The 17,530-nt window shown below is 38.5% G+C and overlaps 1 protein-coding gene, 1 long non-coding RNA gene and 1 pseudogene across 2 annotated transcripts in view, besides 2 other annotated features; 1 reads left to right on the plus strand and 2 right to left on the minus strand.

The window, feature by feature from the left end:
* LACTB2-AS1 (LACTB2 antisense RNA 1) overlaps nucleotides 1–17,530 on the plus strand; it is a 54,703-nt gene that overhangs the window by 29,356 nt on the left and 7,817 nt on the right. The window contains exons 2-3 of the long non-coding RNA NR_038881.1: nucleotides 13,881–13,962; nucleotides 14,579–14,820. This is a non-coding gene — a long non-coding RNA (LACTB2 antisense RNA 1). The remainder of the gene's footprint in view (nucleotides 1–13,880; nucleotides 13,963–14,578; nucleotides 14,821–17,530) is intronic.
* The window catches only part of LACTB2 (lactamase beta 2), a 31,920-nt gene that overhangs the window by 667 nt on the left and 13,723 nt on the right, over nucleotides 1–17,530 (minus strand). The window contains exons 4-6 of the mRNA NM_016027.3: nucleotides 6,133–6,311; nucleotides 2,970–3,118; nucleotides 616–697 (exon numbers count right to left, since the gene is read on the minus strand). Coding sequence (NP_057111.1) covers nucleotides 616–697; nucleotides 2,970–3,118; nucleotides 6,133–6,311 — 410 coding nt within the window. The remainder of the gene's footprint in view (nucleotides 1–615; nucleotides 698–2,969; nucleotides 3,119–6,132; nucleotides 6,312–17,530) is intronic.
* Nucleotides 4,130–4,179: an enhancer, noted in NCBI's record as "active region_27509". NCBI's record gives its function as "activates an Ori minimal core promoter by ATAC-STARR-seq in GM12878 lymphoblastoid cells {active_cell/tissue: GM12878}" and the evidence as "EXISTENCE:reporter gene assay evidence [ECO:0000049][PMID:35858748]".
* Nucleotides 13,845–13,954: an enhancer, noted in NCBI's record as "active region_27510". NCBI's record gives its function as "activates an Ori minimal core promoter by ATAC-STARR-seq in GM12878 lymphoblastoid cells {active_cell/tissue: GM12878}" and the evidence as "EXISTENCE:reporter gene assay evidence [ECO:0000049][PMID:35858748]".
* On the minus strand, nucleotides 16,646–16,951 carry RN7SL19P (RNA, 7SL, cytoplasmic 19, pseudogene; annotated as a pseudogene).

A 17,530-nucleotide genomic window follows, 5' to 3' on the forward strand; every position in this document is an offset into this window, starting at 1 on the left:
TTAACAATAGATAAGTAAATGCACTGAATTTTAAGTTACCTTGTGGCTAGAAAAAGCATTCATTCTTAAAATAATTTTGTTGCTCAATATAAAGTTGGGTATTTTTGGTACATGTAAAAACATTGCTAAGGCTTCTACATCAAATTCAAGCTTAGAATTCTGGATTTTAAGGATTACATTTCTATAAAGATTATTAGTTTGACAAACTAACACTAGAAAATAATTACATAATTACTGCTTTGACATCTCTAAGTTTACTACCTTTACCACTGTTTAAAACCTTTGGCTGTTCCCAAATCTACCACATGTGAAATTCTTCGTGGTTTTTGGGTCTGGGAGAAGAAAAGTTATCTTCCTGCTACATGTCTTTGATTGCCATTCTGGTGGGTAAGGATTGGAATTCCAACTGAGATTCTAATTCCCCTGGGAGCTTTTGGTTCCAGCTTGTGGTCCACTGGCCCTGTGCTACTGACCTTCCTAGCGCCTGTCTCTCCAACTTAAAGTGATATTCATGGGAGAACTCTGATGGGTATTATTTTTCCTCAAAGGAAACTAAGGCATCTGTAAAAATATTTTAAATGCTGGTAATAGAAGAAAATTTGGAAGCATACTCACATATTTTTCCTTCTTTTTCTAGTTTTTTCAAATGAAGTAAGAGATTATGTTTAGCCATTTCATGTAAATTCTCAGGAGTATTCTAAAAGAAAAATGAAGGTGAAAAAAATTCCTTTTTTTTTAAAAAAAAGAACACAGTTAATTTTTTGAAAGCTTTGAAGAAAAGCAAAATGTAGCAAAAGTTTATCTTAAACACATTTTTTTTTTTTTTTGAGACAGAGTCTCACTCTGTCGCCAGGCTGGAATGCAGTGGTGCATCTCGGCTCACTGCAACCTCCGCCTCCCAGGTTCAAGCAATTCTCCTGCCTCAGCCTCCCGAGTAGCTGGGACTACAGGCGAGCACCACCACGCCCAGCTAATTTTTGTACTTTTAGTAGAGACGGGGTTTCACCATGTTGGTCAGAATGGTCTCGATCTCTTGACCTTGTGATCCACCTGCCTCGGCCTCCCAAAGTGCTGGGATTACAGACGTGAGCCACTGCGCCTGGCCTATCTTAAACACATTTTTAACTTGTTTGACATTTTTAACAATTTCACTTTGTATACATCTTGTTTTATATTCTATATATACTCCTATAGATAGAATAGGTTGTAAGCTCCATAAAGACAGTAGCAGTATCTTTTTTTTTGAGACAGAGTTTCACTCTTGTCACCTAGGCTGGAGTGCAATGGCGCGATCTCGGCTCACTGCAACCTCCACCTCCCAGGTTCAAACTATTCTCGTGCCTCAGCCTCCCGAGTAGCTAGGATTACAGGCGTGTGCCACCATGCCTCGCTAATTTTTGTATTTTTAGTAGAGATGGGGTTTCACCATGTTGGCCAGACTGGTCTCGAACTCCTGACCTCGGGTGATCCGCCCGCCTCGGCCTCCCAAAGTGCTGGGATTACAGGCGTGAGCCACCATGCCCGGCCTGGCAGCAGTATCTGTTTTGTTCATTACTGAATATTCAGTGTTTAGCATAATAATACATAGCAGAAACACATTAATATTTTATGAATGAATAAATGTAAAATTATTCTTAGAAAGTTTTCATGATGCTACAGACAGTTGGCCCTGTAATTTATTTATTAGGTTACAGGGTAATATCTTTGTATATTTTAATTTAAATTTAATTTTTTTAAAAAAGTTTTTGGGCCGGGCGCAGTGACTCATGCCTGTAATCCCAGCACTTTGGGAGGCTGAGGCGGGTGGATCACCTGAGGTCGGGAGTTCGAGACCAGTCTGACCAACATTGAGAAACACCATCTCTACTAAAAATACAAAATTAGCTGGGTATGGTGGCACATGCCTGTAATCCCAGCTACTCGGGAGGCTGAGGCAGGAGAATCGCGTGAACCCAGGAGGCAGAGGTTGTGGTGAGCCAAGATGGCGCCACTGCACTCCAGCCTGGGCAACAAGAGCAAAACTCCATCTCAAAAAAAAAAGTTTTTGAGATACAGTCTTGCACTGTCACCTAGGCTGGTGTGCAACGGTGCGATGTAGGCTCACTGCAGCCTTGACTTCCCAGGCTCATGTGATCCTCCCATCTCAACCACCCGAGCAGCTGGGATCACAGGCATGTTCCATGACACCTGGCTCATTTAAAAAATTTCTTGTAGAGATGAGGTCTCACTATGTTGCCCAAGCTTGTCTCGGACTCCTGGGCTGAAGCAAACCTCCCACTTAGCCTCCCAAAATACTGGGATTACAGGGGTGAGCCACCACGCCTGGCCACAAAAGCTTACATTTTTAACCTCTAAGCTATGCTGCCTACACAGCAGACATCTAATAAACATTTGCTGAAAAACTGAATTATACTGACTGCTATATAGTGCTGTCAATACAGTGATATTCTCAGAGGCCAGTGAGGTGTAAGGCTCTTTCCCTACATACTATTTTACTCATGTTCTTTGATTTTTTTTTTCTTTTTCTCCATTGTTTGGCATTGCTACTACTTCTCACTGCTTTGCTACTACTTCTCACTGTTAACATTCCAATATTTGTGTCTAGCAGGTCACCCCTCCTCTCTTGGTGCAGGCTGGGACACAAGATAATCAAGATGGCTAGAATAATGCAAAAATTATTACAAAATGTAATCATCAGGCTGTTGGTAGTTTCTCCTACATAGTTAGGCAGTTTCTCCTACATAGTTAAGTATATAAAGTTCAATGATGGCTCGAAATGGCTATCTTTGTTCTCTAAGGCCAGTTTTTGTTTAATTTTAGCACTGTAGAAAGTTTAGGCTGCTGGTCTCAAATCTAGAAAAGTGGCGTAACTTCTGATCTGGGATATAAGTTTATCATTTCTATAGTCTACTAAATAGATAATTCTAATAAATTTGTGGCTACATACAAATAAGAAAACTGAAAATTACCTTGTAAATAATTTTTACAAGCTCCATTACTGTAAATGATTTCTCAAAGTTCTCACGAAATAATGTAAGAATTTGCTGCTCTCGAATATTTCTGTGAGAAATGTATTGTTGAATTTTAGCTTCAGCATTATGAATTACTGGGCCATGTCCTGAATTAAAATAATTATAAGAGTTACTTCAGTCAGATAAAAAAATACTAAGTACAACAGAAGCTAACTCACTCTATTTAAAAATAATTCATATGATATATTGAAAAAGCATACTAAATGTCAAATATGAACTATTTGGAAAGCTATACAGGTGAAAGAGATTTAAAAATTATATACAATACCCCCCAATTAGAAAATTATAGCAAATACAATCTATAGAAAATATTGTGTACATTAAAAATATGGAATAGAAATTTAACAATAAAACACAGCAATAAAAATAGCAACTACAATAATAACAATAGGTAATGTTTATGGAGTGCTCACTATGTGCTAGGCACTGCCCTAAATGCTTAACATACATTATTCTTACAAGAATCCCATGAAGTAGGTACAATTATTACACATTTCTTATGGTAGAAACTGAGACATACGGAGGGTAAATAATCCGTCCACAGTTACATAGCTAAGAAGGGGTGGAGTTAGGATTCTGACAGGATCTCTTAACCACTCTGTGCTCTTGACCATTAGGCTAAGCTTATAAAATACTGCAAAAGGACAATGTAAAAAGCAGTTTCATGTACATGACCAAGCTCTATTAAAAATTCACAAGACCCACAGTAAAACTTTAAGAATCCTATGTATAGGCTTCTGTATGTCAGAAATTTTGACAACCCAGATTAAGTTATACTATAATTTACTTCCCCTTTAAGACAGTACACATTAATATTATATATTATATAAGTCTGCAAGAATGATGTTCTTAAATATTTGAGAACAAAATATCCAGAAGCAGGCTAACCTATTACGGGATCTGGTTAGACACAGACCTATCATTTATTTGCTGTGTGGCTAATAAATGAGGAAGTATCTGAATCTCTCTAAGCTGTTTCTTCTGCTGTGTGGTGAGGAAACCACTACCTACTTTACATGGGTTTTGGTGAGGATGACAACTGTAAAGGCCCCTGCACAAAACCTGATGGCTAGAAGACTTTAATATATGGTAGCTATGGCTACAGAGCATAATTTACATATAAACAACTGCTGTGCTAGTAAGCCAGTTCACTGGATTCACTAAAGCACTCTAGAATCTTTACTAGGTAGCCTCTCATTAGCTTAGCTTGAATGTGAATTCACTCAACGTCTGCCCTCTTCGCTTTAAAAATAGCTGTCTTTAGCAAAAACAAAGCAAAACAAACAAACAAACCCCCCCAAAGCTATCAGCCCGCAATCCTTTAATGTCATCATATAAATCTAAATGCCCAGCTCTACCGTATGTTTTCTATTCCCCCAGCAGTAGGAACTCATCGCAGAGTGTAAATGTGTTGAAGATACTGGATGGACGGATCTTTCAATGGCTTGGTTAATCGCAAGTTAGAAGAACTTAGGAAGTTAAGTGACCTAGTCCCTTTTTCCTTTTGGGCCTTTTTATTGGGTCCTGTGTCTTTCTTAGCTTTTTTTTTTTTTTTTTGAGAAGGAGTCTCACTCTGTTGCGTGATCTCTGCTCACTACAACCTCTGCCTCCCAGGTTCAAGTGATTTTCCTGCCTCAGCCTCTTGAGAAGCTGGGATTACAGGTGCCCACCAAGACGCTTGGCTAATTTTTGTATTTTTAGTAGGGATGGGGTTTTGCCATATTGGCCAGGCTGGTCTTGAAGTCCTGACCTCAGGTGATCTGCCTGCCTTGGCCTCCCAAAGAGCTGGGATTACAGGCGTGAGCCACTGCGCCTGGCCATTTCTTAGCTCTTCAGATGAAGGAGAGATTGATATTGTAGAACAGTCTAGTGAGATCTGAGACACTAACATGTTTCTTTTTCTGGAGAATGGAAATAAAGATACCATTTTATAGTTGATATAGAAGCTATTGGTATTTCAATATTGTAAATTAAAAAAACTAAAGCTCAGAGGTCAAACATTACCCAAAGTTACACAGCTAAAATGTGGTCCAAATAAAAATCAAGTTAACAAAAATAACAGTGGTTTATGGAATGAAAACATTTTCCCATTTCAATGTAAGTTTATGTCTTTTTAACAGTTCTATTAATAACTGTATGTTGAAAAATAACCCTCATATCTTTATCAAAAGTTATTAATATGGCTCTTGGCCTTCTCTTTAAGTTTAACTGCACAGCTAGACAGGACTTAGGGGTGTATTTTCCTTTTTTTTTTTTTTTTTTTTTTTTTTTTTTTTTGAGACAGAGTTTCGCTCTGTTGCCCAGGCTGGAGTACAATGGCGGATCTTGGCTCACTACAACCTCCACCTCTCAGGTTCAAGCAACTCTCCTGCCTCAGCCTCCCGCGTAGCTGGGATTATAGGTACCTGCCACCACGCCTGGGTAATTTTTGTATTATTAGTAGAGACAGGGTTTCACCATGTTGGCCAGGCTGATCTCGAACTCCTGACCTCAGGTGATCTGCCCACCTAGGCCTCTCAAAGAGGGGTATATTTTAAAGAAGTAGTTGATATGTTTTTTTTTTCCCCCAGACAGAGTCTTGCTTCTGTCACCCAGGCTGGCATGCAGTGGTGCAATCTCTGCTGACTGCAACTTCCACCTCCCAGGTTCAAGCGATTCTCCTGTCTCAGCCTCCCAAGTAGCTGGGATTACAAGTGTGCGCCACCACACTCAGCTAATTTTTTTATTTTTAGTAGAGATGGGGTTTCACCATGTTGGCCAGGCTGGTCTTGAACTCCTGACCTCATGATCTGCCCACCTTGGCATCCCAAAGTGCTGGGATTACAGGTGTGAGCCACTGAGCCTGGCCTTATATGTTATCTCTTCAAGGCCAAATACATACAGAGACAAGCCAAAATGAACCTTCCTCATCATTTGACACAAATGGTTTGCTAGGTTTGAAAAACTACCCACTTTGGCATGCCTGTATACCCAGCGCTTTGGGAGGTTGAGGTGGGAGGACTGCTTGAGGTCAGGAGTTTGAGAACAGCCTGGAAAACATAGCAAGACCTTGTCTCTATTTAAAAACATAAAAATATAAAAAAATTTAAAAATTACCCACCTGGATATATAATATCAGCTTTGATTTTCAATAACTCTTTTAAAGAGTTCATATAATCATAGAGGTCTTCAAATACCGTTGTTCCTTCCCCTAGGATGCAATCTCCAGAAAAGATAGCATTTTCCTCTTCTAAGAGTAGAGCCATGTGATCATCAGTGTGGCCAGGGGTATATAGAACTCTGGTTGAAAGAAGAAATAAGGAATAATAACAATTATGAACTCGAGCTTAGAAGAAATTTTGAGAAGTAAATTATTCTGTATCCTTATCTTTAGACACAAATAAACAGATGAGTTAAAAAGCTGCTTTTTCTTTTCTTGAACCCACTGAAAATTATCATTAGAAAATTCTCTCCTTTAACTAAACCAAGATTCTCACTCTGAAGTAAAATTTAATACTTTTCCCACCCTTTTTCTTTTCTTTTTTTGAGACAGGGTCTCACTCTGTTGCCCAGGCTGCAGTGCAGAGGCAGGATCACAGGTCACTGCAGGCTCAATCTTCTGGGCCCAAGTGACCCTCCCACCTCAGCCTCCTGAGTAGCTGGAACCACAGGTGTGGGCCACCAAGCCTGGCTAATTTATTTTTATTTTTATTTTTTGTAGAGACAGGATCTCACAATATTGACCAGGCTGGTCTTGAACTCTTAGACTCAAGCAATCCTACCACCTCGGCCTCCCAAAGTGCTGGGATTACAGGCATTAGCCACCTCATCTGGCCTCCTACCATTTTTCTTACTTTATAAATAATAAGCACTGATTATAACAAATTTGGAAAATAGAAAAGTAAAGTGTTTAAAAGAAATGAACATCAACAATCATTTCTATTCCTCAGAGGGAGAGCTTTTATTATTACAGAATATATACTTTTTGATTTTCTATGCATATTTATATATTTTAAAAACAAAACTGATATTGTTTTAATACCTGATTTTTGAAATCTTAACTTACTATATTGTATTTTCCTACATCATTATATGTTTACATCATTTTATATATATATATACACACACACACACATATACACATATATACATATATGTTTATTTATTTTTGAGATATATCAAGGTCTTGTTATGTTTTCCAAGCTGTTCTCACCCAGGCTGAAGCGTGGTGGCATGTTCCTGGCTCACTGCAGCCTCAACCTCCTGGGCTCAAGCAATTCTCCAACTTCAGCCTCCCGACTAGTTGGGAGCACAGGTATGTGCCACCACGCTTGGCTAATTTATTTTTATTTTTTTGTAAAGACAAGGTCTCTTTATGTTGCCTAGGCTGGCATCAGTATATACTTTTCAAAGACAAGTATTTAAGTGCTTAGCATAGCAGATGGCACAAAATTGCATGCTTAATAAATGGTAAATTTATTTTAGTAGTTATTATCTAAAAGCTTAAAAGAAACTTTCTTAACATGCAGAAGGTGGTCAGAAAAAGACTCTTTTTTTTTTTTAAATTATACTTTAAGTTTTAGGGTACATGTGCACAACGTGCAGGTTAGTTACGTATGTATACATGCGCCATGTTGGTGTGCTGCACCCAGTAACTCGTCATTTAACATTAGGTATATCTCCAAATGCTATCCCTCCCCCTCCCCCCACCCCACAATAGGCCCCGGTGTGTGATGTTCCCCTTCCTGTGTCCATGTGTTCTCACTGTTCAATTCCCACCTATGAGTGAGAACATGTGGTGTTTGGTGTTTTGTCCTTGCGATAGTTTGCTGAGAATGATGGTTTCCAGCTTCATCCATGTCCCTACAAAGGACATGAACTCATCATTTTTTATGGCTGCATAGTATTCCATGGTGTATATGTGCCACATTTTCTTAATCCAGTCTATCATTGTTGGACGTTTGGGTTGGTTCCACGTCTTTGCTATTGTGAATAGTGCCGTGATAAACATACATGTGCATGTGTCTTTATAGCAGCATGATTTATAATCCTTTGAGTATATACCCAGTAATGGGACTGCTGGGTCAAATGGTATTTCTAGTTCTAGATCCCTGAGGAATCGCCACACTGACTTCCACAATGGTTGAACTAGTTTACAGTCCCAGCAACAGTGTAAAAGTGTTCCTATTTCTCCACATCCTCTCCAGCACCTGTTGTTTCCTGACTTTTTAATGATCGCCATTCTAACTGGTGTGAGATGGTATCTCATTGTGGTTAAGAGCTTCTGCACAGCAAAAGAAACTACCATCAGAGTGAACAGGCAACCTACAGAATGGGAGAAAATTTTTGCAATCTACTCATCTGACAAAGGGCTAATATCCAGAATCTACAATGAACTCCAACAAATTTACAAGAAAAAAACAACCCCATCAAAAGTGGGCAAAGGATATGAACAGACACTCTCAAAAGAAGACATTTATGCAGCCAAAAGACACAAGAAAAAATGCTCATCATCACTGGCCATCAGAGAAACGCAAATCAGAAAAAGACTCTTTAATCTATTTTTTTCTCTCTAGTTAAACATTTTAAGACAGAGCCGTTTTTTATAAATTCTACCCTATATAAGAAACTTAACATGCATTTATTTCCTTTTTCCTTTCCTCCAATTTTCAGTTTTTGTTGACAAAACTGATTATAATACTTTTAAAGTATGACAGGTATTTTATTTCAAAAATTCTTATTTACATTTATATTGTTTTGTAACTATGCCAACAATAAACCAGATAAACAAAAAGCTGAGTTCAAATAATCTGTTCTGCAAAGCACCCCGACTTCTCAGCAATATACAGACTTAATTCTCTGTACTGGTCACTGTTGCCTCTATATTCTTCTTCTACTTTGAATTATGTGTTATTCTGTAGGCTTCACATTGTTTTGTTTGCTATTCTACCTCACAAGGTTATGAGTTCCAGAAGGGCAGGACTCTCATCTCATTTTCATTTTTATACGCTCAGTACTTGGCACTTAGTAGTAGTTAATTTTAGTAATAGATTGCTTTCCATGTACCAGGCAGTGTCTTCAGGGATTTACACAAATTACATTTAATCCTTACACTACTTTGGGTTGGGCATTATTAGCCTCTCCATTTTACATTTTACATAAATAAATCACAGCAAATAGCAATACATGTCTGAAGGAATATGGTTTAAATTATATTTTATTTAGTTTAAGAGGATAATTACCTGCTATTCTAGTCAGTATTGAGTTTTTATGTGCTTGGAATATATATATCTCTATCTATCTATATATATAATTTTTTTTTTTTTTGAGACAGGGTCTCGCTCTGTCGCCCAGGCTGGAGTGCAGTGGTGCAATCTTGGCTCACTGCAACCTCTGCCTCCCAGGTTCAAGCAATTCTCCTGCCTCAGCCTCCTGAGTAGCTGGGACTACAGGTGCCCGCCACCACACCTGGCTAATTTTTGTATTTTTAGTAGAGATGGGGTTTCACCATGTTGGCCAGGGTGGTCTCAAACTCCTGACCTCAAGTGATCTGCCTGCCCTGGCCTCACAAAGTGCTGGGATTACAGGCAGGAGCCGCTGTACCCAGCCATGTTTGGGATATACTTAATAAATCTTCCCAATAATGGAATATTTTGTGGGAATAAGGTAAATGTGATGACATATAGATGAGTGATAAGTGACTTACCAGACAGGAGAAAATGGAAGCCTAAATAAGCAGCAGGGAAAGCTGAGAACCAATCAGATTTGCACTGCAGAATTCCTCAAAGTCTAAGGATTTAGGAAATCTGGAAGTGGAGGGTGAAGTGGAAGGAAGGTGGCTGAAATAAGAAGTCTGTTGAAAGTCTTTTTAGCAAACATTCAGATCCTCAAGAGTCTCTTCCCACTTTGAGTTGAGAAGTGCCCCAATCTCACTAAGGGAAACGCTGGAGGTTTAATCTTTGAAGAGGGTAAAACAGAGGCATAGATGCAGGAAGTGACAATATACTAAAAAAAAGTAAGATTACAAGAATATATGTAGATTCCTATGCCTTCTTTCCACACTCAGCTTCTATAATTCTGGCAGCCAGGCCTTTACGCTACATGAAGATTAGAAGAGTCTTTTTCTAAGTTATTTTACCATCTCAGGAAGAAAGACTCTACGATACCAATGTTGGAAAGTTCCCAACTGAAGAGCTCATCCAGATTATCCTACAGTGAGGCCTAAAGCCTACGGAAGACTCCCCCCCACATTCTCAGAGCTCCCAAACAGCTCTGTAGTTTCCATCAGAACACAATTAGTAAACATCAGAAGATAAACAGGATTACTAGGCATCTAAGGAAAGTTATGTTGAAGACAGCGCATAAAAACGAACAAGCAAACAAAGGGGGTTATGAAGAAAATTTCCAAAACAACCAAACCCCACAGAATATAATATCCTCAGCAAAAAAAGAAGAAATTGCAACTATGAAACAAGATTAGGTTAGTATAAAAGCAACATTTTGGGAACAAAAAGTTTCTGAAAATTACAAATCTGAGAACAGAAATAAAAACATGTAGTAAGATTAGGCGATAAAGTTAATAAAAATCTCCCAGAAAGTATAGTAAAAAGGCAAAAAGATGAAAAATGAGAGAGAAAAAAATAAAGTTAGAGTAGTACAGGAGTTCTAACAAAATAATAGGAATTTTAGTAAATGAAACAGCACAAAAGAGATGAGAGAAAATAAGCACCTCAAGAAAAATTTTTGGAACTGAAGGACATGTTTCAAGACTGAAAAAGCCTATCATGGATTGACAAAGACTCGCTTTGACTAAAACTATAGTCAACTCCTCTGAGTTTTTTCCGATGATGGGACTCAGAACACACTACTGCCAAAATATGGCACCTTTGCATGCTGAGGTAGGATCCTTTGATGAGGCAGTGATTCCTTTGATGAAGGAATCACTGTGAAATTTCAGGATACAGTGGAAAAGAAGGGAAAAAGCAAAAGCCAGGGACCAAAGAAGTTCAGCAATCAGAAGGGCTTTAGATTTCTCTATTGCAATATTGAAACCAGAAGGAAATGAAACCTTGCAGACAATACTGAGAAGGAAAAATACTTTCAACTTAGAATCTATACTCATAAATACCTTAAATAAAGTTAGATGAAAAAAGGATACTTTCAGATATCTAAGGTCTCAAAAATTCACCATTTCTCAGAAAGCTACTGGAGATGGGTTCCCCTAAAACAGAGGGGGTTTTAAGAAACTTATGGGGCACTGGAGAAAGGAGATCCAACACTGGAGAGAGGCAAAGGGAAGCCCCAGGTGAGAGTGCAGGGAATTCTGAGATGACACCAGCATCAGGCCCGGAGGAAAACAAGCCGACAGGAGCAAGTTATTAGCTGGAAGGCTTAAAGGGTAGGTTCTTTCAGAAGATTAAATTGAGAGAATCCATGATGCATTTAAACACCCTAAGGGAAGATTTATATACTCAGAGTTAAATTAGTGATAAATACACAGAAAACTATCCAAAATAACAAAGCAAAAACAATGACTAACTGCAGGAAAGCAGGAAAAGTAAGGATAGTTTACTACACGGTTCAGCTGTAAATAGTGTCTACAGTCATAACAACATCACCGAATGCTGATCTAACCAGCATTATGACATTGAGAGGTTAGAGGACAGGAATGGTGCTCAAAAGTGGGAGAAGAGGAAAACCCAATTCTAATTTTTTCTTAGTGGAAAGTTAATATCTCAAATTGAAAAATAAGATGTAGGAAAGAATCAAATAGTCCGCTAAGATTTGTAACTGTTACTGCCCCACTGTTTAATTTCTTTCTCCCTAGACGCAACCACTTTCACCTGTTAGCTAATCATTTGTGTCATTTGTCTGTTTGTTCCTGTACAACAAAACTGTACCATTAAAGGTAATTATGTGTGTCTCTCTTCCTTGAGACCTTGATGAGCCTAGCCATAATATGTAAATGTTTTCAAGTTTGGATTTTAGATTCTAGAAGCCACAGTAATAAGTAAACCTTTTGAAAAATGTTTTTAAAAATTTTATTATTATTTTTAAGAGATGAGGGCTTACCCTGTCACCTAGTCTGGAGTGCACTGGAGTGATCATGGCTCACTGCAGCCTTGAACTCCTGGCATCAAGGGATCCTCCCACCTTCATCTCCCAAAGAGCTGGGATTACAGGTATGAGCCACCATGCCCAGCCTAAGTAAACCTGTCTTTTTACAAGATGATCTGATTATAGTTTAATTTAGAATACAAAACTCGTTTAGGCCAACCTTATATTAAAAAATAATCTATAAAAAGTAGTATACAGAAAAAGCATAAAGTTATTTGTGTTAAGCTTAACTCACAGGACCACATTATTAATAAGCAACAGTGAAGCTCTAGTAAAAAGATGTGTGACTGTCACTAGAAACTAAAGGTTCAGTATTTTCACAGGATAATTCTACCAAACATTTAAAGGTCAGATAATTTCACTACTATGTACTTAAACTCTCCTGGAGCACAGAAAAAGGCCAGGTGCGGTAGCTCATGCCTGTAATCCCAGCACTTTGGGAGGCCGAGGCCTGAGGTCAGGAGTTCGAGATCAGCCTGGCCAACATGGCGAAACCCTGTCTCTACTAAAAATACAAAAATTAGCTGGGCGTGGTGGCGGATGCCTGTAATCTCAGCTACTCAGGAGTCTAAGGCAAGAGAATTGCTGGAACCCAGGAGGCGGAGGTTGCAGTTGCAGTGAGCCAACATTGCGCCACTGCACTCCAACCTGGGCGACAGAGTGAGACTCCATCTCAAAAAAAAAAAAAAAAAAAAAAAGAAAAAAAAAGAAACAGATAAAGCCCCAAACTGACAAAGGTACAAAAAGAAAAATACTACCCAATTTTATTACTATTCTAAAAATAATAACCAAAATATTAACAAAGAGAATCCAAAAGCACATTGAAAGATCATGACCAAATAAGATTTATTAAAAAATGCAAGAATGCTCCAATATTATAAGATCCCTGAAAATCATAGTAAAGATATGGAGGAAACTAGTAAGTTCATCTCCCTAGACAGTGAAAAGACATTTGATAAAATTCAACTCTTAAAGTATTTAAGAGAACTGAAATGACTATAACTTAGGGAAGTTTCTCCTTTACCATAAATATAAAAACCAACCAAATCCTTAATATTAAATATTGAAACTGTAAAGACTTTAAAAAGTCTAATAATATAATAGATATAAGGTATAAGACATGAGATACTAATGGAAGCAATTATTTTTGAAAGGCCAATGTCTGACATTAAGAACTATTATGCTTTTATAGTTTCCAAGTATATATTTCATATATTGCAAACAATTACTATATTATAGTTGATCCAATGGCAAGGTATTAAAGAGCTGTTAGAAATCATCTCTTTTGTCTGGTTAAACTTGCTGCAAGCTGTTAATAGAAGTATTCAATGTTATATGAAAATAATTCCAAGGGGTGTATTTCCAGCCAACTATATAAACATGTGTCTTTGTGTGGCGATGTGTCATATCTTGTGGACAATCTTATGAATACATAGAATGCATTAACAAACAGAACCCCAATCTTTCTTTTTTTAATCTACAAAAACTCACTTGTAGAACCACTCTTCATCTGAAAACTGTTTTGCTTGCAATGCCTCCTTCATTATCAGCCCTCCCTGACCCCCTACCACACCAGAACTCAGTAACTGTTTTCTGTGATATAAACACAGAAAACAATTTGTTTTTCTGTGATATAAACACAGAAAACAAGTAGCAGGGTTTCTTAAATTGGGGAATCAGTAATCTCAATTCTCCAGTCACCTGGGTGGCTGCTGTAATTTGCATAAAACTGTTAAAATTCACTTCACACAGGCAGGAGGAGAAAAGGAAATGACATCAGAGGTGCTTTGCTAAAGATCACAGGAACTGCAGCTGTGGCCTTCCTATTTCGCAGGTAGAAAATTTATCTAGTTCTGTTACTTCTGTGATAGAGTGGACTTTGTAAGGATGACTCTCTTAGAGAATTCAAGACAGTGATCAAAAACTGTCAGATTGACTTTTCTTCAAGAAATTTAACTTAGCTTGCTAGTTTACATCCAGAATCAAATTCTTACTGAAAAACCTTTCTAGTTTTCTACTTTTTACTGCAAGGGTTCTTGGTGGATATTATCTCTGTCCCTACTGCATTTTATGTTATTTTTTTCAAAGTTGGCAAGTAGGCAAGATCAACTGGCCAATGAATACATGAGGACTGAGGCAGATTTTAACCTTCTATTTATGCAACTTTCACTGAACAAAACTCTTAAGTGCTGTTATTTATATAGAGTTGAACTCTGTCAAATGTCTTTTCACTAGCTAGCTTAACAAAGGTTTTGCTTAAAATATTACATGTTAATATTGAAAACAGTTGGGCTTTTCTGACTTCATAAAAGTGGAAATTGAAAACCACATTCATCAGGAAATTAAATGTTTTATCCAGGCTTTAGCTTAATGAGAATTTATATTTTGAGAAAAGATTATTTACTACTAGTCATTTTTAAAATGTGTCTGTTTTTGATTCTTTTTGTCAGTTTTCCCCTTAAATCTTTACACAGATTCCCATCAGAGTACAGTAAAACAAAAATTAAATAGAATTCATATATTTGAAATCCTTGGCATCAATTCACTCCAGGAATCCAAGACAGTACTCAACTGAAGGGGAAGCAAGCACAAGGGAGATTTCTGGGACACTGATACTGTTCCGTTTCTTCATCTGAATGCTGCTTATGGGCCTTGTTCAATTTGTGAAAATTCATGACTTTGTACATTTATGGTATGTGATCTTTCCTGTTTATATATTATACTTTGATAAGAAGTTTTAAAAAAATGACCTGTTCCACCTGGATGGCAGTTAACATCCAACAGCTGCATATCTTTAATCTGGTAAATTAGGTATAGCTCTAATGATTACCCATGATTCTATGTGATAAACCAGTACTGTGATTCCCAAATCTTCGAGACAGAAGATTCAATAAACCATCTCTACCCCTTTCATTAACTTGGTCTAGGGCTGGTGTGCTATGGAGGAAATTTCAGTATTGTGAAGAATACTTTTTGAGCAAGTAGTAATATAACATTTGTTTTCCTTTGGTGTCATGGGCGAATTATATAACATGCTATTATATTTTCTTGCTCTTTCTTACTATTTTCTTGCAGAGTCTTGCTCTGTCACCAGGCTGGAGTGTAGTGGCACTATCCCAGTTCACTGCAACCTCTGCCCTCACAGGCTCAAACAATCCTCTCACCTCAGCCTCCCAAGTAGCTGGGACCATAGGCACACACCACCATGCCTGGCTATTTTTTTTGTATTTTTGGTAGAGATGGGGTTTCACCATGTTACCCAGGCTAGTCTCAAACCGCCTGCCTTGGCCTCCCAAAGTACTGGGATTACAGGTGTGAGCCACCGCACCTGGCTATATTTTCAACAAAAGCATTATAAGGAAACTGCCTAGAAACTACATTTTGAAAATCACAGCACAGTAGAAAAAAGGGGGCACCAATTTAAAAGAGGACATGGACATCTACTACTTCATTTTCTCTTACTCATCTGTTTGTCTATTTGCCTCTTTAAAGATATTAACTATATGTAAGATAAATATTCAGTGCCTTCTGTGTGCTAGAGGTGAGGATGTGAGGATGAATCTGGTATCTGCCTATATCAGAGAATGGCTATCTAGTTACTAAACCCATTTCCTCTATTTTGCTGGGCATACAGTTAATTTCCCAGACACCCTACAGTGAGGGGTGACTTATGACTGAATTGACAGCCAATGCAACAGAAGACTTGGTCCATGAAAACCTCCCATGCAATATCCCTTCCATGCTCTTTTCTACCTGCTGGATTGATCGAGCTGAGCATGCAACCTTGAAAAAAAAAGCCTTCAGGAGGGTAGAGTCACAAGATGGAAGGAGCATACATCATTACTTGCAGAGGGCCACTGGCTAACTGGGAACCTTTTTGGGACTGTATGGGACCAAGAAATAAATTTATTTCCTATTTGAGCCGTTAAACATTTCTGAGTTGTTTTGCTATGGCAACTGGCATTAACTAATATTGTGAACTTAAGGAGCTGACTGCTTTTTAAGGAGACACTTACCCCCCTCCACAAAACCACAATACAACTTAGTAAGTGCTATTATAGAATAAAATTTATACAAAAGCTGGAGAAGAGCAGTTAATTTTGCCCAGAAAGCGTTCTTGATATAAGTAACATGTGAACTGGGCTTTGAAGAATAAATAGATAAGAATTTACCAGGGAGACAAGTAGTGGAAAGGGGTGATATAAACAAAAACATAAACAGGCATAATATGCCCAGGAATATTTGTATATGGCTAAGTGTTTTTGTGAGGGGAGTGGGAACTAAGACCAGAAAAGTGGCCTGGGGTCAGACTGTGGTATGGTAAAGAGAATAAACATTATCTTGTATGCAGCGAGAGTCATTAAAGATTTCAAGTAGCACAATGAAGGATGGTAGGCTAAAGGGGAGAGCTGGAGACAGTAAGATAAAGGAGGAAGTACTGGTAGTGGATGTGAAGAAGGGATAGCACTGACAAATATGTGTGTGTGTGTCTGTGTGTATTTACCTATTTTTTTTTTAGAGATGGGTTTCTACTTTGTGGCCCAGGCTGGAGTACAGTGGCTATTTACAGGCTCCATCCCAGTACTGATCAGCATGGGAGTTCTGACCTGCTCTGTTTCCGATCTGGGCCAGTTCACCTCTCCTTAGGCAACCTGGTGGTCCCCAGCTCCTAAGGTCTGAGCGGTCACCATACTGACGCTGAATTTAACATGGACATGCAATTGGCATAGTACACTACAGCCAAGAACTCCTGGACTTAAGTGATCCTCCTGCCTCAGCCTCTTGTGTGGCTGGGACTACAGGCATGTGCCACTGTGCTCAGCTGACAAATATATTTTTTCCATAAGTTATTGGGGTACAGGTGGTATCTGGTTACATAAGTCCTTTAGTGGTGATCTGTGAGATTTTGGTGCACTCGTCGCCCGAGCAATATACACTGTACCCTATTTGTAGTCTTTTATCCCTCATCTCCCTCCCACCCTTCCCCCCAAGTCCCCAAAGTCCATTGTATTGTTCTTATGCCTTTGCATCCTCATAGCTTAGGTTCCACATATCAGTGAGAACAAACAATGTTTGGTTTTCCATTCCTGAGTTACTTCATTTAGAATAATAGTCTCCAATCTCAACCAGGTCACTACAAATGCCGTTAATTAATTCCTATTTTTTTTTTTTTTTTGAGAGGGAGTTTCACTCTTGTTGCCCAGGCTGGAGTGCAGTGGCACAATTTCGGCTCACTGCAACCTCTGCCTCCCAGATTCAAGCAATTCTCCTACCTCAGCCTCCCAAGTAGCTGGGATTACAGGCATGCACCACCATGCCCGGCTAATTTTTGTATTTTTTTAGTAGAGACAGGGTTTCATCATGTTGGCCAGGCTGGTCTCAAACTCCTGACCTCAGGTGAT

The sequence above is a fragment of the Homo sapiens genome, chromosome 8 (genome assembly GCF_000001405.40).
Source record: "Homo sapiens chromosome 8, GRCh38.p14 Primary Assembly".
Taxonomy (NCBI): domain Eukaryota; kingdom Metazoa; phylum Chordata; class Mammalia; order Primates; family Hominidae; genus Homo; species Homo sapiens.